The sequence below is a fragment of the Homo sapiens genome, chromosome 20 (genome assembly GCF_000001405.40).
Source record: "Homo sapiens chromosome 20, GRCh38.p14 Primary Assembly".
Classification (NCBI taxonomy): Eukaryota; Metazoa; Chordata; class Mammalia; order Primates; family Hominidae; genus Homo; species Homo sapiens.
Window position 1 is genome coordinate 20416763 of NC_000020.11, and position 24340 is coordinate 20441102.

General features: G+C 43.4%; 1 protein-coding gene across 14 annotated transcripts in view, besides 1 other annotated feature; it reads right to left on the reverse strand.

Moving 5' to 3' along the window:
* RALGAPA2 (Ral GTPase activating protein catalytic subunit alpha 2) overlaps window positions 1-24340 on the reverse strand; it is a 323115-nt gene that overhangs the window by 27233 nt on the left and 271542 nt on the right. The window contains exon 39 of one of the 14 annotated variants that reach the window (XM_047440320.1): window positions 6917-24339. The exons of the other annotated variants lie outside the window; for them this stretch is intronic. The gene's annotated coding sequence lies outside the window, so the exon portion shown is untranslated. Of the gene's footprint in view, window positions 1-6916; window position 24340 lie in introns of those variants that run through there. 14 annotated transcript variants of the gene reach the window in all.
* Window positions 9627-9786: an enhancer, noted in NCBI's record as "active region_17608". NCBI's record gives its function as "activates an Ori minimal core promoter by ATAC-STARR-seq in GM12878 lymphoblastoid cells {active_cell/tissue: GM12878}" and the evidence as "EXISTENCE:reporter gene assay evidence [ECO:0000049][PMID:35858748]".

The following is a 24340-nucleotide window of genomic DNA, read 5'->3' on the forward strand; positions in this document are numbered from 1 at the left end:
TTATCAAAGAAATAAAGAGAACTGTCTGTAAGAGGCTATGTTGCAGACTGTATTTTTTCAACCCTTGAAACCCTTCTTGCCTGAACCTTCTCTAAATTTCCCAAGAGTGGACATGACGCTCAGACTGGCAAAGTGGCCCCGGACACAGGCAGCCTCCTGACATCAGTGTGTGTGTGCTGTAACAGTTTGCGTACCCACCTCAGTTTTCTTTCTGAACTCATGCAGCCTCTAATCACTGGCACAAGCAAGCCCAGAGCTAGCCATTCTCATGACTCTAACTCCCATGGCAGTGATCTGCAGAGGAGGGAATGTCATGTTTCAGAACCACCTGGGACGCTTCAGCCATCCACGCATCCCTCTCAAAAGTTCTGGCGCCCCCGAGTTCTGCTGCCACTGTTCCATCCCTTGAGTACATTAGGGTGTGTAAAAGGTTGAAAACCTCTGGCTAAATAGCTACCACGTATGACCATCTTAAGCCTCCTTATGTTAGTTTTCTGTGGCTGCTGGAAATGACCACCAACTGGGTGGCTTAAAACAACAGAAATTTATTCTCTCACTAGTTTTGGGAGGCCACAGGTCCAAAATCAAGACGACAGCAGAGGCTGCAGGAGAGATTTTGTTCATGCTTCTTCCAGTTCCAGGTGGCTGTCTGCATTCACGGGGCTGCATGACTCTCCTCTTTGCTTCCATGGCTACATGGCCTCTTCCTATTCTATGTGTCTCTCATAAAGGACACTCCTCACTGGATTTACTGCTCTCCTGGATAACCCAGAATGATCTCCTCATTTCAAGATCCTTAACTTATATCAGCACACAGCCTTGAGTCAAATAGTTAACATTCACAGGTTCCAGGAACTGGGACACAGACATATGGTTTTTTGGGACCATGGTTTACTTCAATAAACTCCTTGAGGACACCATATGAGTCAGGTTCATCAAATTTATGTCAAGAGAAATTTATTCTCTTACGTCACTCATACAATCTAGCTTAAAAGCACCCCACATAATATTTACTGAATGAATAAATGAAGGCCTGAAATTCGTGTCCATTGCTTTAAGCTATGAGACAGCTAGATATATTCTAGGCAATAGCAACTTGTAAGGAGAGGTTAGAGAGTTCAATTTGAAGTAAAATTATACACAGATTTAGAAAACTGCGTGATAAAAACTTTTAGAGGAATGTATGGGGGCAAACTCTTTATGACCTTGGGGTATGGAAAATCTCTTAAGAAACCAAAACATGAACCACAGGGAGAAGAGACTGGTACATCTGACCACATTCAAAGTAAGAGCTCCTGTTTACCACAATACTGTAAAGAAGGTAGAACTACTAGGCACAACGTGGGAGGAAGCATCTGCGACTCAGAGCTGGCAAGGGGTAGGTGCCAGAATATAAGAAGAACGCCGAGCAAATCCATAAGAGAAAGTCAAATAACCTACTAGAAAGATGGGCAACCAAGAGATAAACCATGACTGGCAATTAAGTTGCTCAGTACCATTAATGATCAGGGATTATGAGAATTACAACAAAATACCATCTTATATATCCCAGAGTGGCCAAACACAGAATATGTAATAATGCCAAATGTCAGACAGGACATGGGTCACAGGAGCCCCAAGAACCTGCTGCTGGGAGGAACTGGCCTGGCTTCTTGGGAGAGCAATCTGACCTTATCCAGGGAAGAACAGACGTGCGTGCTTGCAGGCTGGCAATTCCGCTCCTCAGTATATGAGCTCTGGTACATATGTGCTTGGTTCAGAATGATTATAACATGTTACAGGCAACAGCAAAAAAGGAAAAGGAAACTATTTTTAACATTCATGGATAAATGCAGTCACACAATGGGATATTATATAGCAGTGAAAATAAATGAACTATAGGCATGTGTATTAATAAGGATAAAACTGAAAACCATGCTCAACCAAAAAAGCCAGTCACCGAAGGACACATTGAGTGCAATTCTATTGCTATACATTATTTATTTATTTATTTATAGACAGGGTCTCACTGTGTCACCTAGTATGGAGTGCAGTGGAGCCATCATAGCTTACTGCCACCTTGAAGTCCTGGACTCAAGCAATCCTCCCACCTCAGCCTCCCAAGTAGCTGGGACTACAGACATGCGTCACCATGCCTGGCTAATTTTTAAAATATTTTCTAGCAATGAGGTCTCGCTATGTTGCCTAGGCTGGTCTTGAACTCCTGGCCTCAAGTGATCCTTCCACCTCAGCCTCCCAGAGTGCTGGGATTACAGGCCTAAGCCACCTTACCTGGCCTATATATATTTTAAAAACAGGTTAAGTGAAACATATTGCTTAGGGCTACACACATATGTAGGAAATGATAAAGAGCAAGGAAATAATAACCTGGGATTACCTCTGGGGTGTGGAGGGGTTGTACCTGGGAGGTTCTGAAATATATTGGCTGGTGCAAGTGGGTGTCAGTACCGGGACGTGTTTTAGTGTTCCTTAGAACGTATGTAAATGACATGTCTTCTAGTCTATATAAATATTTCATAATAAAAATGGGCAATTTGGCCAGAATGAAACAGCACTAATCAAATGAATCTTTTCTCACCCATCAGAAGGACAGAATGAGCTTCAAGTCGAAGGTTGATATAAAAGGTCTATGTTTGGGTGTTAGAGTTGACGATGATCACAAAGAAGTCCATTTGACTCAGACACAGAGAAAGCAGAAAAGAGACAGTACTATTTTTAGGGATTTCATTTCAGAAATAGACCAGAATGTCAGAGCTCAAAATTTTCAGAAAGTTGTGGGGAACTCTGACAGAAGGGATTCAAAAAGCTCAAATCAAACATGGATACGAATGCCACCTGTAGGGGAGGGGGATAATGCTCCAAAAAATAAAAATGTATTTCTACAAAATTACTGTTGTTAGAATTACTATGCATTAAGAATGACAAAACCAGCTGAATCTGAGAATGGTCAGAATACTACATATATTCATAGGCTTAAGCATAGATTTCTATACATTATCCTAGTCTGCTCAGAGAACTGGATCTCAAGTGGCTGTGCTATTTTCAAAAAGCAAATCCACCTTCATTCAAGCGCTCATCCATTCAAGAGATATGTATTGAGTGCCCCCCTGTGCTAGGTAATGGGCATGTAATCAAGGAACAAGATAGATGTCGCTCCTGCCACCAGCAATCCTGCATTCTAGCAGGGAGGCAGACCGAACACTAGTTAAAGGACAAGTCCAGGGAATAAGGCAAACTGTCATTATGTCAGTACCAGGAAGGAAAGAGGGAGATAAGCTCAAAGAAGTCTCTGATGGGAGGGAAGCAGCTAACCAAGCAGGGATGAAGTGGGGTAAGGAGTGTAAGAGCAGTTCGGGCACAGAGAATGCCATGAGCGGGAAGGAAGTTGGGATACTTCAGGAGGAGAAAGGAGACTGGAGTCATGGGGTAGTAAGAGGGTGGCAGGAGGTGCAGCTGAAAGACAAGCTGGGCCTGGGCACAGGAGGCCCGAATGGCTTGAGGCAAGGAAGCAACATGATGTCACTTAAGTTGCTATATTGCCCTTAGAGGAACTGCACCACTAAGGAGGGTCCTGAGTGTCCTCTAGTTTGGAAGAGGTCAAGGCTGACTGGCATCTATACGTTCAATCAATGGGCTTGTCCAAATATTTCAATACCTTACTTATTCTTTGCATTTTTCAGAAGTGGATGACATACAACTTTTGGGCATGTGGAAGAGGTAAGAATGCTACTTGCAGGCTTGAAATGACCAGAACTTCTGAGAATGACCTTAAGCATAACCAGGAAGGACTATGGCATGGCAGAGAGAGGGCCATGCTGGGTGACACACACACCCTGGCGTGGAGGGAAGAGGAAATGGAGCAGAAGCAGGCTCTCCGGTGAGGCAGAGAATGAGGCACTACACACAAGGAGGCAGGCACGACCCTCCCACAGGACAGATACTGGGCTCACAGATACTTATAAAAATGAGATGAGTTAACAGCAGCTGTGGATTGAGGAATAGTACCCTGTTTCGAATGTGTGAAATACACCCACGGATGCGTTTTAAACCTAGTAAAAAAAAGACCCTACTGTGGCAGAGTCTGAGCTCAGAGAAGGAATGGCTAAGAATATTTTACAAAACTAGGAAATTAATTAGCTGATTTCTTCTGCTGCTCCCCACTACTGGCCGCTTTTGGTATAGAGGATGCACAAGAAAATAACACGTTTTCATTTTTGAGCAATGTTTTGAGTAGTGATGAAAGAAAGTGAAGAGGCAACACACAGAATAGGAGAAAACATCTGCAAACCATTTAAGTGATAAGGATCTTGTATCTCAAATATATAAAGAACTCTCACAGATCAACAATAAAGACAACCAAGTTTAAAAATGGGCAAGGGATGGATGTGCATAGACATTTATCCAAAGAAGATATGTAAATGGCCAGTAAACACATGAAAAGATGCTCAACACCACAAGTCATTAGGGAAATGGAAATGAAAACTATAATAAGATACGACCTCACGTCTACTAGGATGACTATAATCAAAAGGACAAGCGACAGTAATAACCAGTGAGGACGATGAGAAGATGTGGAGAAATTGGAATCCTCATACCTTGCTGGTAGGAATATAAAGTGTGGCCACAGGCCAGGCGCAGTGGCTCACGCCTGTAATCCCAGCACTTTGGAAGGCTGAGGTGGGCGGATCACCTGAGGTCAGGAGTTCGAGACCAGCCTGACCAACGTGGAGAAACCCTGTCTCTACTAAAAATACAAAATTAGCTGGGTGTGATGGTCCATGCCTGTAACCCCAGCTACTCGGGAGGCTGAGGCAGGAGAATTGCTTGAACCCGGGAGGCGGAGGTTGCAGTGAGCCAAGATCACACCATTGCATTCCAGCCTGGGCAACAAGAGCGAAACTCTGTCTCAAAAATAAACAAACAAACAAACAAACAAACAAAGTGCAGCCACTGTGGAAAACAGTTTGGCAGTTCCTCAAAAAGTTAACATATTATCCAGCAATTCTACTCCTAGAAGTTCAATACCCAAGAGAACTGAAAATATATGTTCACATAAAAACTTGCCAACAAATGTTCATAGGAGCATTATTATTTACAGCCAAAAACCAGAAACAACCCCCTTGCCTGCAAACTGATGAATGGATAAACAAAATGTAATATAACATATAATAAAATATTATTCAGCCATAAAAAGGAATGAAGTATTGATACCTGCTGTGACACGGATGGACTTTGCAAACACTATGCTAAGTGAAAGAAGTCAGATGCCAAAGCCCATATATCGTGGGACTTCATTAATATAAATGTCCAGAATAAGCAAATTAATACAGACAGAAAGGAAATCAGTGGCTGCTTGGGGCCAGAGGCAGGGGAGAATGTGGCATGACAGTTAATGGGCATTCAGTTTCTTTTTGGGGTGATAAAAATGTTGTGGAATTGGAAGTGGCAATGGTTGCATAACTCAGTGAATATACAAAAAACCATTGTATTATACATTTTAAAAGGGTGAACGCTATGGTCTGTGAATTATATCTCAATAAAATAAATGCCCCCAGGCTGGGTGCAATGGCTCACCCCTGTAATCCCCAGCACTTTGGAGACTAAGGTGGGAAAATCGCTTGGGGCCAGGAGTTTGAGACTAGCCTGGGCAACATAGTGAGACCCTGTCTCTAATGGCACGTGCCTGTGGTTCCAGCTGGTCAGGAGGCTGAGGTGAGAGGATCGCTTGAGCCTGGGAAGTTGAGGCTGCAGTGAGTTCTGATCATGGCATTGCACTCCAGTCTGGGCGACAGAATGAGACCCTGTCTCAAAAAAAAAATGCCCCCCAAAATGCCTAGTGGTACGCAGTGCACACTATGTACTGTGAGGAAGGCCTGCTAATAAAAAGATCTTCACTGAACACATGAGAGAACAAATGGCAGGATGGCCTGGCACAGCAAAAGCCCTCCAGGCAGATAGTGGCTGAATCATTTAAGCATGGAAGACACAGGAAGAGCAGAAGACCATGTGCCGCGACTGTTCTAGCAGCTGGAGGATGAAAAAGACATAGTCTTGTCCTTCACAGCATTCACAGCTTATATGGAAAGACAAGTGGACAACGAGCTCTAGGAAGCTGGTGGGTGGAGCGATTCATGGGAATGAGGAGTGGGTCTTCGTCAGACTGCAATGGGCTGGTTACAGAAGGGAAGAAGCAACACCAGCCTGTGGCAACTTGGAATCTCCGAAGGTTTTAAAACAGATGAACAGCAGGACCTGATCTATGCCTGAGAGATAATGGGGCAGGGAGACAATGCAGGGGAGGAAGCGGCACAATGCAGGGCAGACCCAGCTGGACTTGGGGTGCTCACCAATGGTAAGAGATGGAGATGGATTCTGGACATAACCCTGGGATCAAGGTGTAAGTGACCAGGAGGGTGGGACAAAAAGGGACCTGAGGAGGAGGGCAGGGTTGAGTGGAGGAGTCTGAAGAGCCCAAGGGATTCCTGGGGGACAACTTCAGGGAAGTGCTGACTGGGACTCAGCAGAGAGGCCTGGCCAGAGCTGAAGAGCTGAGTCATGGGTTTGGAGATGAGCTTGAAGGAGAAAAGGGGAGAATGCAATGTTAGGGAACCACCCCCACCCCCACCAGAGGGTGGGCAGAAGTGAAAGAACAGTCAAGGGATATGGAGGGAGCGGGAGACAGCCATTTCCCAGATCCTAGGGAGAAGCATCTGGAAGGAGGAGCAGCAGGGTTCCTGCAGAGCCTCAGCTCCCATGCACTTCCCTGGTACCTGCCTCAAAGGCACATGCTCCACAGGTGGGCTCAGGTCGCATTTAATAACTAAACAAATGGATAAAATTCCATAATGAGCAAGACAGGAACAGATGCCAGTTACATCCTAAAGCCATACATCATTTTCACAAGATTTTATCTCTCTTTCAATATAATGTAAATTTAAATTCTAGGACTGTTTAAGGCCACAAATAAATGAATCATTGAAAGTAAATGTCACAGCCTGGTAACAGGTAAAGAGGATGACTTTACTCAACAATGTAACCAAATAAAATGGATGTTTTGGAAAAGGAAATTAAACACATGGAGGTATAAGATATTAGATTAAGTTTCAAACCCTAATGATACACTCCTGGAGAGAAACAGTCCACTACTGCTCAAAAAGAAGAAAATACCATATAACCAAGTTTAAGAATAATTCTGAGGAAATGATAAGAGCAAATGGAAATGAGAAAAAGATTTTCTTCAGGCTATTAAATTACAGACTTTTGGAGATGGTCTGTTCTCATATTCCTATGTCCTTCCGGCATAGGGAGCTGAAGGTCTCCCTCCTAGAATCCGAGGCGCTCCACACATGCAACGGATTTGGACTATGCTGTTATTAGAAATGTTCAAATCAGTTCTTCCCAGGGGATTGATTTGTGAAGGAGCACATCCTTAATTATAGCATTTTCCATTTCCATCTTCTCCAATTCTCCCAGTGCACCTCACCTTCTGCAAATCACCAAGTGAGAAAATGCCCCGTGACACCGTCGCTCAAAGTCTCACATCAGTAAAAATGTAAGTGACAAGAAAATTCGTCATTCAGCCTATTTCAAGTCTAGAGAAAGTGCTGTCAAATTGAGTGAGAAAAGATTCAACAGGCTACTTCAATGATGAAAACGACAGAAAAAGTGACGAATCAATATGAACAATAGAAGCCCTGAGTTCTGCCATGCTGACGCCAATAACTTGATTTCTGGGAGGAAGGGAGTCAATGTCACTTGAACCGTGTTTCTCTTTCACAGATTTTCACTCGTCCTAAAGACATCATATGTTAGAAGCTAAAAAATGTACTCCCAACCTTAATATAGAAAGGACCACTGCTGACATTTTTGGGGCATTTAATATCCATGAAGTGACAACAAAACGGAAAATAATTAGAAATGCAGAACTGACCTAATGTTAAATGATGAGTTAATGGGTGCAGCACACCAACATGGCACATATATACATATGTAACTAATCTGCACGTTGTGCACATGTACCCTAAAACTTAAAGTATAATTAAAAAAAAAAAAGAAGAAATGCAGAACTGCCTCTAAATGTCTTAAATCCTGTTTGTGGCAAAGTATAAAAAGAGTAGACAATTAAAGAGCAACACACATGAATTGTAAACTCTGTTTCTATCATCACTGACTCTAAGAGAAAAAAATATTATTAAATAAAATACGTTACAGGTACTATTTAGTGCAACATAATTTGAATTGAATTATCCAATGTTTACTCTTCGACCATTCTATTTTGAAGGCAAAAGCGACTTTCATTTGGCCTACAGAATAGTTCATATCTAGGTTGATTCTAGAAATTAAATAGGATCATGATATATGATATACGATAGATAACAAGTAAATGAAACTGACAAGTATAAGAAAACATCTATAGCAGATACTCTGGTTATCCATTCCTTTGAGACATTCTTAATTGTTACCTATAAACAATCTCTTAGGCCCACGTGAAATCAGACTAGGCTCAGGCACGACACAACTGAATTTTGTGGTCCAAAGTATTTGCACCAAGTTGTGTACAGATTTTCTTCGTTTTTCATTTCTGAAAGCAATTTTGGGGAAATAATTCCTTTTCATGGTATTTACAAAAGTTTAGCTTTATTTGTTTTTTCTTCTGTGCGTTTTAAAATAATAAATATCACTACCTCTGGAAGCAGAAAATAGTATTTCTATGCTTCTATGAAATAATTTTAATAGCTTAAAGGCATCTCAGTTTTCCAGGAAGATATTCATCTGATACCAAGTTATCAGATGTCAAGAAGAAACTCCAAGAAAAGTTAGGGGTTTACCAAATGAAAGTGACTTACAAAATGAGGAAAGAAGCTGATGTGAAGGTTGCCAAGCGGCCTTCCTGGCCGATTCAGACTGCTTGAGTGGTACGCTGGGTTGCAAAGCACACCTGAGTGATAAATATTACTGCTGACCCACACTTGAAACTCAATACACCCCACAGACCTATCAGAGCAAAAAAAATAATGCCACAATTATTGAAACCTCACTGGAAATTTGGGGGAATTCTAATAACACAAAGCTCCCTCATGATCAGAAGTAGCAAAAGTATGTTGGCCAGTTAATATTAAAAGCAACTGATTTCTGGCTATTAATAACAGCATGTGATGCAACTGGCTCACTTAGGAAGAAGCTACACTAAGTGGACACAAGGGTTGAGCCATCACAACAAACGGCCCTGGAGCATGTCTTTATCTGCAGCACTCTGAAGAGCTGCTCCATCTGTAGGCATGGCTGGGCCCCTCAACAGACACTGGTCCTGTGCAAACCAGAATGACCAGATGAGCGTGGAGAATATGGGTCTCATTAATGTTATGGAAAGTAGTTTTGAGCAGCCACAGGGCAAAAGCAACTCTTTTACTCCTTTTACATCTGTTCTAACATTTGGTTCACTGTTAGGTTAAAAAAAATAAAGATGATCAGGAAGTATATATAAGTGACTTACATAGTGTGGTTTGAAATTTTTATGTTTGCTGTCAAGATTGGTCATGAAAATTCCCAGGGGCTGCTGGAATGACTTACTCTGGTTTCATAACAGGCTCAATTGTACTGTTCTACACCTTCTGCTAATCTGGTTCTAGGCTGTGTAAAGAAAAAAATATACACATATAGCTCTGTTGAAAATAATGAGTCTTGATGAAGGTCTACGTGTTTGAGTGGGGTAGTGAAGCCACCTGTTTGCTAACGAGTCTCTGGCTGAAGGGCACTGGGCTGAGAACCCCACAAGGTGGTCATACAGCCCTGTGATGCTTCTGCTTAGGGGTGAGGAAGGGAAACACTGTAATGATCTTAGAGGAAGGCTTAAGAAGCAACAGGGCTCAAGTGTGAAGTTCAGGCATCGTCACTGACATAATCTCAGAGATCATCAGCAACACACAGCATACGGGATGCCCTTTTACGAATGCACCTCAAAGGAAAAAGTCCCTGTTCTGACAGCCCTTCAGGTGTGGCGTCTGCAGCAGGTGAATCAGACTACATCCTGAGCATAAGTGAGCCCCCGGCCAGGCACCTCTGCTGATGCTGCATCAACCAAAGATTACATTTAAATAAAGATGCCAATGAAAATGATCAAGTGCTTTTAATGGGTTGAAGTTTTATAGGCTCTATCTCATTTAATCCTCACAACTTCCTTCTGTGGTTTGTACTATCCTAATTTTTTTGTAGAGGAGGAAATTGAAGAGCAGTGAGGAAAAGTGTTCTGTTCCACCTCTCTCAGATGCTACCAGCAGCCTGACTTGAGAGCCTGGCTCTCAGTCACGGCCCTGCCTCTTATGATCAGAATTCTCCCAACAAGAGAAAAGACTAGTGAGGCCAAAACTAGCAGAAGACCCAGTTCCATCTACTCACTGCTGTTTTCATAGAAAGCTGAAGGAGTAAATTGTAGCCCTTCTTCCACTCTCTCCAGTTGGGACTCTATTATCCAACAACTTCAGGTGAAAGAAAACTTACTGTGTTTTCTCCTGCAAATTAAACTTCAATACTTGCATTTCAAGTATTTTTGGCTCTTACAAGCCAGTGAGAGAAATCCCTGTGGGTTAGAGCAGAGGCGGGAGTGACAGTTTCACTAAATCCCATCTGTGTGCCATTCTGCTTGCGGGGTGGGAGCGTCTGCAGCACAGCACATCAGCCCTGCGTCCTGCACTTATTCATGCAGATGTCTCTTCCCCTGTCACTCATCCCTTCATTAGAACTCCCTCCGACCGGCTAGCCCAGGGGCTGCTGTCTTCCTGCCCCTGGTCCTGGTGCCCCGTTTCAAGTGGTGGTGTACAGCACTGGGTGCCTTGTGTGTCCTTCATGTCCTCCAGTGCTCCTGGGCACCGTTACCATGCACCTGCTGCAGTGGCCCCTCGGCTTGCAATTTGACGTGAGGCACTGTCATACCAGTGACCGCACAGGTTGCCAGTAACAGGAAAGCAATTTTCTATTGAGCTATGACTATATCTGGCCCAGGATGGATTGTGCAAGGGAAAAAAGATTTTTTTTTTTTGTAAGGGGTGTTTTCTTTTGTAGCTGGACAACATATATCATCAAGTGCAGAGCAGATACTTGGTCCTTCCTGAATCTGACATTTGAACAACAGATTCAACATTTCTACTCCATTTCAGCAGGTACCTCTGAGTACCTAAATCTTTTCAACTTTTAAGAGTAAGGCAGAAGGAATTCAGGTTAAAAAGTCTGCTGCAGTCAGAAGAGAGATCAGAATTAGAAATTCTCTCATAATAACACATGCTTTAAAAATAAAATTTCAGAAAAAAATGATGGGTGTTTATCTTAACTTTTTATGTCTTTATATTCTGGGATAATTCTACTTTACTCTTCAATGAAAACTGTCTGCTTTTATATTTTATATGCAAAATTCCTTGTAACAGATCCCATCTATTCTGCCTAAACTCATAAAATATACAAATAACAGAAACAGCCCCCAGTGCTGTTAAAGATAAAATTCCCAACCCACACAATTCTCTGGGACTTTCCACATTTAAGCCTCATAGAGTCACTTGATATCATCTTCGTGACTAAAAATATAACTGCAGTATTACTTAAAATTATAATCAAATCATTCTCTTGCAAATTAAGACACTTACTCTTAGAAAAAAAAATAGCCAAATTGAATTCGGTACGTCTTTTCTTGATAGATCAAAAGCAGCTCCATTAAATCAGCAGTTTTATATTAATGGCATGAGACATGACCCAGATGAGGAAAATGTCCTTTGGAGCCATTTTGTATTTTATTTGAAGAGCCATGGAGATGATCCTCACAATTCATATGTGAGGCAGAATTGTATCACTGGTCTCAAGGCCAGGAGGCTGGACATGATCCCAAATGTGGTGGCCCATCCACATCAGAGAGCCCAGGTTCATCTTCTCTCAATCCCTCATTTCTTCCCATTATTGTGCCTGCCACCCATCTATTCACCCACCCACCCATCCATCCATCCATCCATCCACCCACCCACCCACCCATTCACCCATCTACTCACCAACCCTTCCATCTGATATTTACTAAGTGCCTCCTACATATCCATTATTCTCTCCTCAGATGTAAGGAAAGTACTTCCTTGCATCTCAGCCCTCCTCTAAATCTTTGATCCTATAATATTCAAATGTTGTACTGAGTATTATAGTATATTGGAGGATTCTAAAACCCATCATAGTGAGATTACACTATAATTAGCCTGAGTTCTGTTGGGGCAACATCTCACTTAGAATAAAAGAGACAATCTCTATGAAATAAAAACAAGCTACCCAATGTTGGTGCAGTTGGCTGCCACTCATGAAGCTCTTTGTAGCCAAGAGCCCATTGGGTCCTCCTGCAAAACTCAAACCACATATGATAAAGCAGAGACAGGCAACAAAAGTGATGCTCTGAGACCACCCAGCTAGCAATGAGCAGGGCTGAAACTCAAACCCAGGGCGATCTGTTACACATGCTGGCCTCTTCCTACTCCCTTATGCTGTCTCAGTTTAATCTTTCAAACTTATTTAAGATGCTTGCAATGTTCAGTGCTAAATTAATCCACAAACATTGTTGTTTGGTGCTAACAGGAAGAATAAGGATAGATAAATTAGATTCTTCTTTCTCCCCCCAGAACCAAGAGTAGCACAAAACTGGCCATTTTTATAGCTAATCTGGAATAAATGGTGACTTTCTAGCTAAATCATTATCTGTACAATTGTCATAAGAAGCTACAATTTAGAGGAATAAACTACATTAATTTGATTCTTTCCTTCATGCAGCAAGATTTGAAAAATTTACATGACCTCATTTACACAAAAAATTATCTTTCTGCAATTATTTCCAGTGATATTTTGAAGACAATCAGTACAAAATTCTAAAGTTTTCTTAATTATTTTGAATGGACATTTTCAAAGAGAGAATGAATTTGGTGCCAGATGTGGCTTCTGAAGTCGTGACATGCTTCAACACTGGAGAGCAGAGCGTCTCACGGTAAAGGCCTTTTGCACCATAATCAAAACACTGAGAGGAACAGGAATGAACTGTCATTCTTTCATTGCTATCTTCCAAGGGGGTGAACCATTTCTGATAAATCCTTATTTTTAATTATGTGCCACTTGGTGTCATTCAAAAACCCTGAAGAGGGTAGAAGCACCTGTGCAATGACTCTGAACAAAAAAGAAGGTAGAAATTCAGGCCTGATATTTCATGTGTCATCACAGATAGCAGGGTTGAAGTCAAAGCCCTGAGTTCAGATGCAGACTCCTCTGAGTCCTGGCCCTGTGACCTCAGGCAACTAGTTTGCCCTGCAGAACCTGCATCCCCTCATCTGTGAAAGAGGGGTTCAGGGCTGATCTGCAGGACCATGCTGCAGTGAGGGGAATGATGCCACAGGTGTGCCTGTTCAAGATCACAGCAGCAGCTGCTGGACCTAGTGGCACCCGGTCAGTGGAACCTAACAGGGAGCAGCTGGCAAAACAGCAACGTGGAGTAGAGCCCTGGCATTCCAGAGTAGGGACACAAGGGCAGGCCTGGATCTCAGTGCCACTCAATCACTGACTACCGTGGCCAGGCATCTGGCTCAAAGTTGTGGGCCCTGTGGAGGCCTAGGGCAGCAAGATCTTTCCCTTTATGGGAAAGGGCCACATCACCTCCTTGTCCCATGGCCTGAATGCTTCCTCCAACAGGTGGGGGAATATTTCATGAGAAGTGTTTTTCTCAATTAAAAACAGAAACACAGGGACCAGTGATAAGGAGAGTAGTCATTGTACATGATGGAAACTTGCCTCTACCTATAGCAGGTTCTGATCCTGATCAAGTATACTGGTGATTTACTTTGTAGACTGATGTTTCAACTGTTTTCACTCATCTCCAGTGAATATTAAAAATGTCACTTGAGAAATTTCCTTTGTATTTCTCTACTGCCTTTACCTTTCGGAGTTCCCTGTGTCTGTATGTTGATAGCAGACACAAGATCTCACTGTTTTCATGAAACATCACGTATGTACATCACTGGGATCACCTGGTCTCAGTATATACTCTACGTAGACCCCAAAGGTTAAGGACAGTACATGAGCGAGAGAACTTTTTAAATGCCTCTATATATTTTCAATCAGAAGTAATTATTTTGTGAGTTCATGGAGGACATAAAGACGTTAACTCATGGTCCCTATCGTCTCCCAGCATACTACTGATATGACAGGAATGACTTTGGGACACTCTTCCCAGGGCTTCTTGGTGGTGTGAACAAATGTGCAAGGCATCATGAGAAGGAAATGGCTATACCCTTTTGGTGTGGTTGGGGGCTTTGTGGAGCGAGTCCCCCTGAAGCGTAGCTCTGAGACTGAGTGGAATCTACACAGGCCAGAACAGGAGTGATGGGGGAGGCAGGAGGAAAACATCATGGGGCATTTCCCAAGAAGCCATGCCCAGAGAACTGGGGAACACAGGGCTCCTTAAGAAGTAGGACTGGAGAGAGGCCGGAGTCTAGACTGACACTGCTGTTAGGGAAGCGAGGAGGCTCCTGAGGGTAGACAGCAGGCTGACAATGCATGGTGGTGAGTCTGGCAGCCAGGTATGAGGCTGGAGGGGGGAGAAGGAAGGGTGCCACAGCACAGAGATCTGTACAGAAAGCCCTGGACACAGCCTTGGAAAGTGGCTCTGGGCAGAGGGAGAGGATCCCAGGCAGGTAGAGGACATTTCAAAGACCAGACAGGTTTAATGGATGATGCAAGAGAAAACCAAAACTTAAACATGCACCAGGCTTTATATAATTTTAAAATGTATGACACAATTTGCAAACTGGCAATAAATTACTCTAAAATTATCCTTGAGATGGGAGGATGGCCATATGCAAAAAAATTAAGCATGGTGACTGTAGGTAATAATGTATTATAGATTTCAAAATTGCAAAGGGAGCAGATTTTAAGTGTTCTCACCACAAATAAATGTAAGTATGTGAAGTAATAGTTGATTAGCCTGATCTAATCAACCTGCAATGTATACATGTATCACAACATCACACTGTACCCCATAAATATATGCAATTATTATCTGATGGTTCCAAATGTCACTTCTATAGCATGTGTGCACCTCTCTATGCAGCCATAATGTCTACAAGAGGCCTGTGTCCCGGGTTTTTCCTCTATGCAAAGTTGAAGTAGGGGCTATCTTCAATGAGAAACATCCACTAATATTACTTGCACAGACTTAATGGGAGAGATAAATGGGTTATACATCAGTTAACTTGTAACTAATAATAAATTATATTTTGGTCATTAAAGTCATGTAATTTTTTAAAGAAGCAGTTGGTGCGAGAAACAGTAAGGACTGTGAAATAGGAACCACCGTTGTTCCAAGGCTGGTGATCGTCTTCACTGTCAGAATTCATGAGAGGAAGCTATGTTTATTTTCCCTTGATGACCCGACCACTATGGAATAAAACACGTAGGTACATTTTCTACAGAGACGGATCCAAGACTGTGACTGTCTCATTGTGCCTGTAGTGGAGGGCTGCCAGGGCTCTCCTTTGCTGGTTATAAGGAGCTGCCTTGTGTCACAAACCAGGTGATTACCATGGGTTAAACAACTAAGGGCAGGGTGGAGAGTGACCAAGCAGTGGCTCCCTGAGCTCGTGACGGTGCTAACCTTTTCAAAGGTGAGCGCCGTATATATTCATTTCAGCAAGTCACTTAATGAGCTTTTGGATTTTTTCAGCACAAATTAAAGGCACCTACCTGGATTTTTAAATCACTTGGTAATGCCACCTAATCCCCCTGAGTGGAAGAAAATTAAAAACAAGAGCCACAGCATTTCCTTAGAACATCTTGATGTAAAGTTAATGATTCTTTGAGAGAGACTAAATAGCAGACTATTTCAATATTCGGAAACACTGGAAAATACATTCCACCATGCTATACATACATGGGAAAACAAAAAACTATTTATTTATTTAGAATGATTTTGAAAAAAAAAATGAATTCTAATCTCTCCAAATAGCCTCATTTCTGAATATTTTTTAAAACTAGCCCGCTTCCTCTTTTTACCAGGGAGAATCATCATTATCATTAAATACTCCAACTCTGCAATTGTCCACCCTCAAGCTGTCCATGTGAAAGTGACTGGTTGATCTGACTGCCCAGCAGCACTTGGTGCATGGGCAGAGCCTCCGCTCCAGCTGTCTGGAGGTGCACATCTGGCTCACTCGTGAGCACCAAGAATCTCCTAAGTGAATTCTCCCCATTCTAAAGAGCCTGCATTTTAAGAATGACTATGCAAATTTAGTGGCAAGCCATTGGGTCATTTCATGTGATGCCAACAAACATCTAGTAACACTTCTATCCATTTGTCTCTCCATTCAGACATAATTATCAGTCCTACTATGTGCCAGTCAATTGTGTGCCCAAATTATCTTGAATAATTCTCACAAAATCCTATGAAGAAAGTATTGTTACTCTCACTTTATAGCTGAAGAAATTAAGGCTCCGAGTTCAAGATTAGGTGATAGGCAAACCAATATTAGCAATTTCATATGGTTCCACCTAGTAATTTAACCAGAGCCCAAAAAGGTGGTTGGGCAGGGAGGGGCTTCTCATACAATATCTTAAAAGAGGTGAGAGAAAGAAACTAGGAGGAGCACTCAAACCCTGCAAGGGGCTGAGGGGATTTGGAGAAGCTGCAGCCAGGCACAGGATATCTCCAGAGGCTGCTAGCCTGTGAGAAAACAGGAATAAGCTCTTTGATGTAAGGTATCAATACAAATGCAACCTAAAAACGCAGTACTTTTCTGTGCAAGCTGCACCAACAGTTTGACTTATCTCATGAGGCTGAAATGTTTCTCAGATGAGGTCCAACAAGTATAAGTACTCCCCAAACAAACCTACTCAGCTCATTTAAAATAAGCCCTTACTTAAAAAGGACCACAAAGACCTTTGACCAAAGGACCACAGAGACAAGGTCAGCTGATAAATGAGATAGTCTGGATGTTTTTGTGAGATGAAGACGATGCTCACGAAGGACCAGGATTAGCATCTCTGCTTCACCACACAACAGACAAGTGCTAAAATACTTCAAAATCCAGTATACATCAGTGAAATTCCGAAATTTATCAGAACAGAAAGTAGATCAAATAACAAAATACTGCATGATATGTATTTTATATAGTAAAGTATACTTAACAGCCATGTAGATGAAGGTTTTGGCCATGTTCTTTGTACTCAGACATGGCATGCAGTTGTAAGCTCTCTGTAGTAGGGAGGAAGAGGGAGAAGGGGTGGTGATGTACTGGGAAGTCCATGACTTGTTCATCTGGGGGCCTGAAAAAGCCCCTGAAAAATCAAAGCTCTAGTAATTTAGCAAGGTCCAGCAGTGAGGAATAAAGTGTATAAAAGCAAAATGAAGACAAAAATAAAACAAATTTTAATACACATGGTTAGTCTCTCCCAAACAAAAGTTGCTCATAGCCACACACACTGGCCTCTCATGGGAACTCATGGGAAATGCCAGTAGTTCCTCTGTGGGGGTCCCGGGAAAAGTGCAGAGCTAAAATCCACAGTCAGCAACGAGGCCTTGGATTTTAAAATTAATAAGTTCAAAGCCTGATGAGATGGAAAAGGTTGTAAAAAGCACCTTAAAAGCAAGCAGAAACACTCTCAGTCCCCTGTGAGCTGTGCAGGGGACTGTTTCAGCCACAACCAGAAATGGATGCAGGTGAGCCTCTGATATCCTAACACTAAAAACAGACGGAGGCCACCAGCATGGCCAAATGCTCAGAAGTGAAGACCAGGAGGAGATGACCACGTTCTGCATGGGATGTGTTTGTTTTAAAGCAGTCTGCCATTGCCTTTCATCTGTTTGGGTAGAGGACTATATTAAAATTCCTCTTAGAGGCTGGGAGCAGTGGCTCATGCATGTAATCCCAGCACTTTAGGAAGCTGATGCAGGAGTATATTTTGAACCCAGGAGTTTGAGGCCAGTCTGGACAACGTGATGAGACCCCGTCTCTACTAACACATTAAAAACTAGATGGGTGTGATGGTGCATGTCTGTAGTCTTGGTTACTTGGGAGGATGAGGCTGGAGGATCGCTTGAGCCTGGGAGGTCAAGGCTGCAGTGAACTGTGATTGCACCACTGCACTCTAGCGTGGGCAACACAGTGAGACCATGTCTCAAAAAAGTTTTCTTTTAGAGAAAGGCATTCAAAGTGAACTTATGAAAAACAAATCTACAAGTTATTCTCCTGTGTCCTACCCCATGCCCAGAAGCTGACGGGACATCACAGAGAGATGGCTCCAATGTGGACTCTGTTCTTCACCTACGATTCTTGAATGCCATGTTTGCCAATGCTTGAGGTGCAAGGTATCTAAAAGTGGTGGATACTGCAGACCCTTTTCCTCAAGGAGGCCCTGCACAGCCACCTGGGTGTTGATGCCAGATCCCCTGGCTCTAAACTCAGCCCTGGATGAAGAAAATGGTCATGGGAGGCATGGGAGGGACAGGCGAATGCTGCAACAATATGGAACTAAAGTCCATGACGCAGAGGCAGAAGCAACACTTCAGAGATGGAGGGTGTTCACCACCCTGGGCAGACAGCGCGTACTCTGCTAGATGCTGGGAGCAGCTGAGGAAAAGGATGCATAACAGCATCTACAGTTAAGGGCACTGTCATTTGGGGGAGAAAAATTTACATAAATGCAGCTAATACAGAGCAAAAAAGGAAGGACAGTAAAGAATGAACTCTTGAATAAAGTGTACGGAATCATATTATATCTGAAGGAGAAGAGTAGGGAACAGGGGTCACACCCTTACTAGAATGTTGGCTGCTGCAGAGCTGACAATGCTGTGCCATAGCAAAGTGGGAGGAGCATGTGCGTCTCTCCACTTGGGGGCAGGATAAAGATGTGGCACAGTGTGATTTTTAGCAAAGAAGGAGGCAGGCTGATGCTGCCCCGGAGTCCCAGTGTGGTGAAAAGAGGTGGCTCTGTTCTCTTCACGAAGGGAACGAGGGACCCCGACACTGGGATGTGTCTGTGGACACTGCCACAGGCAGGAACTGCACTAGATCTATGGCCTTTCAGGGACTGCTCTGGATTGAGCTCACATGGACAAGAATCAAGATTAGTCTGTGAGCAGGATTAGTAAAAATTCTTAGAAATTTATTGTTCTAAGTTCTGTTTAAATGAACAATCCCATAAATACTGTAGCTGCTCAAGTCTTGAAATGGGGTGAGTTATGTATCAAGTTGAATCATACAAAATTGCTGATTTTTAACCTGCAAAAGCAGCATTTCATATGGTCTAACCCTAATACCAGACAGTAACAGATTACTTGGAAAAGCCCGCTGGGCCCCAGACATTTCCCCGTCTGTCTGCCTAAATCACAGACCTGCCTGTGGACATTGCTCCCTCTCTCTCAGGCCACTTTGCTCCTCAGGAAATACAGCAGCCTCCAGCATACAGTGCTTCCAGGACCCTTCAAATAAAACCCCACGAAGAAACCAGAGCTACTGAAATCCTTAGTACTTCCATGTTCCAAGTAAATCAGATCAAGTTCTCTACACATGTGCTTTGCATGAGTTTTCTAAAAAGATTTCAGTCTATTTAAATACCATCCCTACCAGATAAAACAATTTAATAGGGTAGATCTTTCTTTGCTCAAACACGTTACTTATCTATTCCTTCTTCCAATGCCATCCCTAATATGAAGAAAAAACTGGTAGTGGTTGATAAAGTGTATTTAAGCGTCACGGCAATACATGAGTAAGACGGCAAAGTGTCCCTGCCATCAGCCGGTCCTGGGCCCTGGCCAGGACACAAAGGCATAGAACACCAGCCCAGGGAAGCCATCTCACTTCCCCTGGGGAGACAAACACTGGATGGCTCACGAAGGCTTCAATGTGTTGACACTGTCGTCTCTGCTGCCATAAGGTTGGAGGCCGAAGAGTAATCTAAATAGAAAAAAGAATAAAACCCTGGCCTAGTCGGGTGAGTAGCGTTCTGGGAGAGGCAATGCGTCAAGCCCCAGGCTCCTGGAAGGGAGGGAGGCAGGAAACTGCCATTTTGACTGCCCACTACGTCCTGCCAGACACACTCATGTGCCATGCCTGATCTAATCCCTGCCACGGGCGGGCGGCCAGGGCGCCACCTCATCCGAGCCTGTGCATTGGCCATCATGGCAGCCGCACCGGGGAGACCAAGCTCCGGGGCTAACTAACTGACGGGAGGCTCCGAGCTCTGAATGCTGCCGGTGGGACCTTGGCAAGGTCCCCATCCTCCCTGGGTCCTGTGGCCTCCTCTGCACAATGGCATCTGAACACAAACCATCTGTTCACATGGGAATACATAATATGTATAATTTCATAAATGTTAGCTCAATAAATGTTGGCATTATTAATTCAAACAGAAGTTCACCTCCTGTAAATGGGGAAATTAAGGAGACTGGCAACCACAAACCACTCTGAACGTCCTGAAGACCGCCTGGTCACTGAGGCACACATGACTCTGCACCCTCTGACATGCCACGTCTCATCTGGCCACAAATCCCCATCAATCCAGAACCTGACCACTTGTCACCACCACACGCCACCATCCAGGCCACGCCATTGTCATTTCGTTCCTGGATTATGGCTGTGGCCTCCTACCTCTTCTGGCCTCTGTACCCAGCAGCAGGAGGCTTTCAGGGATGGTGCCGTCCTCCGTTCAGCCTTCAGATGGCTCCCACCTCACAGGAAAAGCGGAAGTCCTTACTGTGGCTGGCAAGGCCCTGCCCCACTGGGTGCCTGCCCCTGCTGTCACCTCTGTGGTGTGGAGCCCTTCCCACACTTCACACACACGATGTGTGTGTGCTGTGCCCTCTGCCTGGGATGCTCTTCCAAGACCCCTGTCTGGCTGCCTCCCTCACCTCCTTCAGGTCTTTGCTCAAATGCCAGCTTTTCTCAGGAGGCACTGTGATCCAGACCCTTCATTCTCCTTTTCTTGGCTTCATTTTTCTCCTCAGTACTCACCATGCTCTAACTTCCCTGGATTTTCATGATCTAGCTTGCTTGCTGTCAGCCTCTTCCACTGGAATGGAAGTTCCATGCGGGCAGGAACTGTGGTATATCTAGCACCCAGAGAACAGGCCCCATACCTACAGAGTCTCAGAAACCACTCTCGCAGGCTAGCTGGCTGAAGGAACAACACTGCAGTGGTTCCAGTGGATCCTGACTCCGTGGTTCTTATGAATCCCGCAAAGAGTGGTTCTTAATATGGGTCAATGGACCCCATGGGGATCTTCTGGGTGATGATCAAAATTCCAGGGGTCCCTGAACTTGGATGGTAAAAAAGCACATCTTCATTCTCACTATCCTATCCTCTAGCTGAAATGAAACATTTCTTTCCGTTATAAATAGGAACATACCACAGTGATACTACCTGTGACTGTGTCACCAGTAGAAATCAGATATTTTCATGACGCATTATATTGTTACCAGTGTCTCAAAATATTGATTCTGCTCATTACTGCTTCAAAATTATAATGATTATTGGACCTACTACTAGAGCTTGGTATTTAATGCATGAATAAAGGCATTCCTATATTACTATATATGCATTTGCTTTAGAAAGCATTTCACTATAACTGATGTACTCTGGAATCCTATATGCTTTATGTTCTGCATTTACAAACATTCTGAGAAGTGCAAGACATCCATGGCACAAAGAAGGTTGAGAGATTGCCTTTGGGACTGACTCCCTTTATCCCTTTTAGTGTCCCTGCTAAGTTCCAGGGTATGTTCACGGTACAGCCCTCAGAGGCAGTGATCAGGGTGACTCAGCCACCAGGGACCACAGGCAGCATGGGCCCGGGGCTGCCAGGCAGTGCGCTCGGGACTGCACGCACGCCAACTGTCCAATCTGGGTTTCTAGCTCCAGATCCAAAGACAGGGTCAAGCTGGGGTTGCCAGGAAGACTCTCACATTTGACTGAAAACAAAATGGAGTTTCAAGCTATCAGACTAAAAGACGGACTAATTATTTATATATATGTATTTCCCCCCAAACAACTAAATTCATATATATTTACTTCATCCTTACAGAGTACTTATTTATGCAAAATGGAGGCTGAGAAATAAATCCTTTAGAAAAAAAGGCGTAAAATTGTGTTGTTCTTCTGACTTCTTGTTTCTCCTGAGCAAACTTTGGGTCACCTTTCATTGGGAAAGGCCCAATGTGCAAAAGGGGAAGAAAAGCACATTCATTAGGCCACTGTCTCTAGCAGGCCCTGTACTAATTACTTTTCGTGTAGGATTTATTTACCATCTCTTTTCCCAGGCATGGAAACGGAGACTAGGAGACGTGACCTGGCTTGGCTCAAGTCACTCTCCCAATTTATTACTAAGTGCCCTGACTGCCATCTGATAATACACAGAGATGCCACAGACCTAATATTCATCCTTCTAAGCAGTCCTGGTTTTAGTTTTTTTTTTTTTGAGACAGGGTCTCACTTTTTCACCCAGGCTGGGGTGCAGTGGTGTGATCTCAACTCACTGCAGCCGTGACCTCCTAGGCTCAAGCGATCCTCCCACCTCAGCCTCCCAAGTAGCTGGGACTACAGGCGCACACCACCATGCCCAGCTAACTTCTGTATTTCTTGTAGAGATGGGGTTTCATCATGTTGCCCAGGCTGGTCTCGAACTCCAGAGCTTAAGCGATCCACTGGCCTCAGCCTCCCCAAGTGATGGGATTATAGGTGTGAGCGACCACACCCAGCCCCTGGTCACTTTTTACAGTTAGGTATCACTAGAGAGACTAAATACCCAACAGGAAACATTTTTCTCATTTCTATTTTCCCATGATAGATACCGATCCTGGGGGAGTGGGCTGGGGAGGGTGATGGGATTATCCAGTGAAAAGCCGCAGGCAACAGTTCAAGTCCCTCTGAATCCACAGCTACATGCACAGCTTCAGAGCAATACAAAACAGGTAATTTAATTCCATAAAATTATCTTTCTACAGTTCGTTTTTTCCTCCTAGCCTACTGAAATGTACACACCATGAGTACAAAGTACAAGGTGCTGTTCAGCTGTAATTTTACTTCTGCACATATTTAATGTGCTAATGGGATGAAGCATTTCATGGTTCCTGTGCTTAGCAAATGAAATAAATCAATGTGTTAAGAGAAAGCGATTTTGTTCTTGCTGTTTGGGGAAAGTGCTCTTTACTTTCCTATTAACAAAAACTTAATGAACCATTTCACATTCAAAACCCCTTAGGTCATAATGTCTATTTCTTAATTAAGTTTTTACAAGTCAAATAATGCTAATTTTCTTTTATATCTCCACACGGGCAGCAGCACTTAAAAAAAATTACTGAGAATAAACAACACCACAGAGTGAGGACTATTTCAGTGAGTTAAATATAGATGCTTGTAGGGCTTTATAAAGGAAGATAGAGAAAGCAAAATGACCTGGCCCAGAATACATGAAGTATAATCAAAGAAACAGGGTATTTGGGTTACTATGGAATTCGGGCCAAAATAAAGTTTTTTGTATGGTGACGACTTGGAATTTTGCTTCAAAACAGGAAGCATAATAATGCTGACCTGCTCTAAGAAACAGTGGTCACTGAGTATTTAAGTTCTTTTTCTTGAATTTATTTTAAATTTTTATGCTTAAACTTCCCAGCCTGTATTAAATAGGCCTAGGCTTTGTACAATACAGAAACAGGTACTTGAGGCTCACTGCTGGTTCGTTCTTGGGCCAGTCTTATTTTCTTTCATCCTAATTGCGCAGACAGCATCGGAGCTTTGTCAGCTTTACCTGCTCTGAATAGAAGCACTTTTGGCCCCCCTTGTCAAAGACTAGGGAAGAAAGCCCGCGCTCTGGTTGGCAGCAGTCTTGGATTCTCGCCCCCGGCCATACTGTGCAATCACGCTGTTTATTCCACTGTAACAATCAGACAGCGAGAGCAGAGCACCTGGTACTCCCCGGCCCGGGCCTTCCTTGGCAGCTGACGGGCAACCTCACTGCCAGGTGGTCGCGCTTCAATTACATTAGCTAGCCATTCTAGGGTTAACGAGGACCCACTTTCTTCAGAATGCCCCGGGAAAATCAGTTATTCATAAAAGACAGTATGCCTTTTGTTGATCATTGAACAATGTTGCTGAAAATCCATTAAATTAAATTCTCTTTATTGGGCTGAATAATGCAATAGCAATAGCCCCAGCTAGAAGTTTGCATGTTTATTTACCAAATTTCTGAATAATTTATACATGGATCCTGGCTCTTTTATCAGTTAGTGGCCAAATGCTTCTTCGGAATGGAGCAGTGTAGCTCTGCCTTCATCTTAACATGCACCAACAC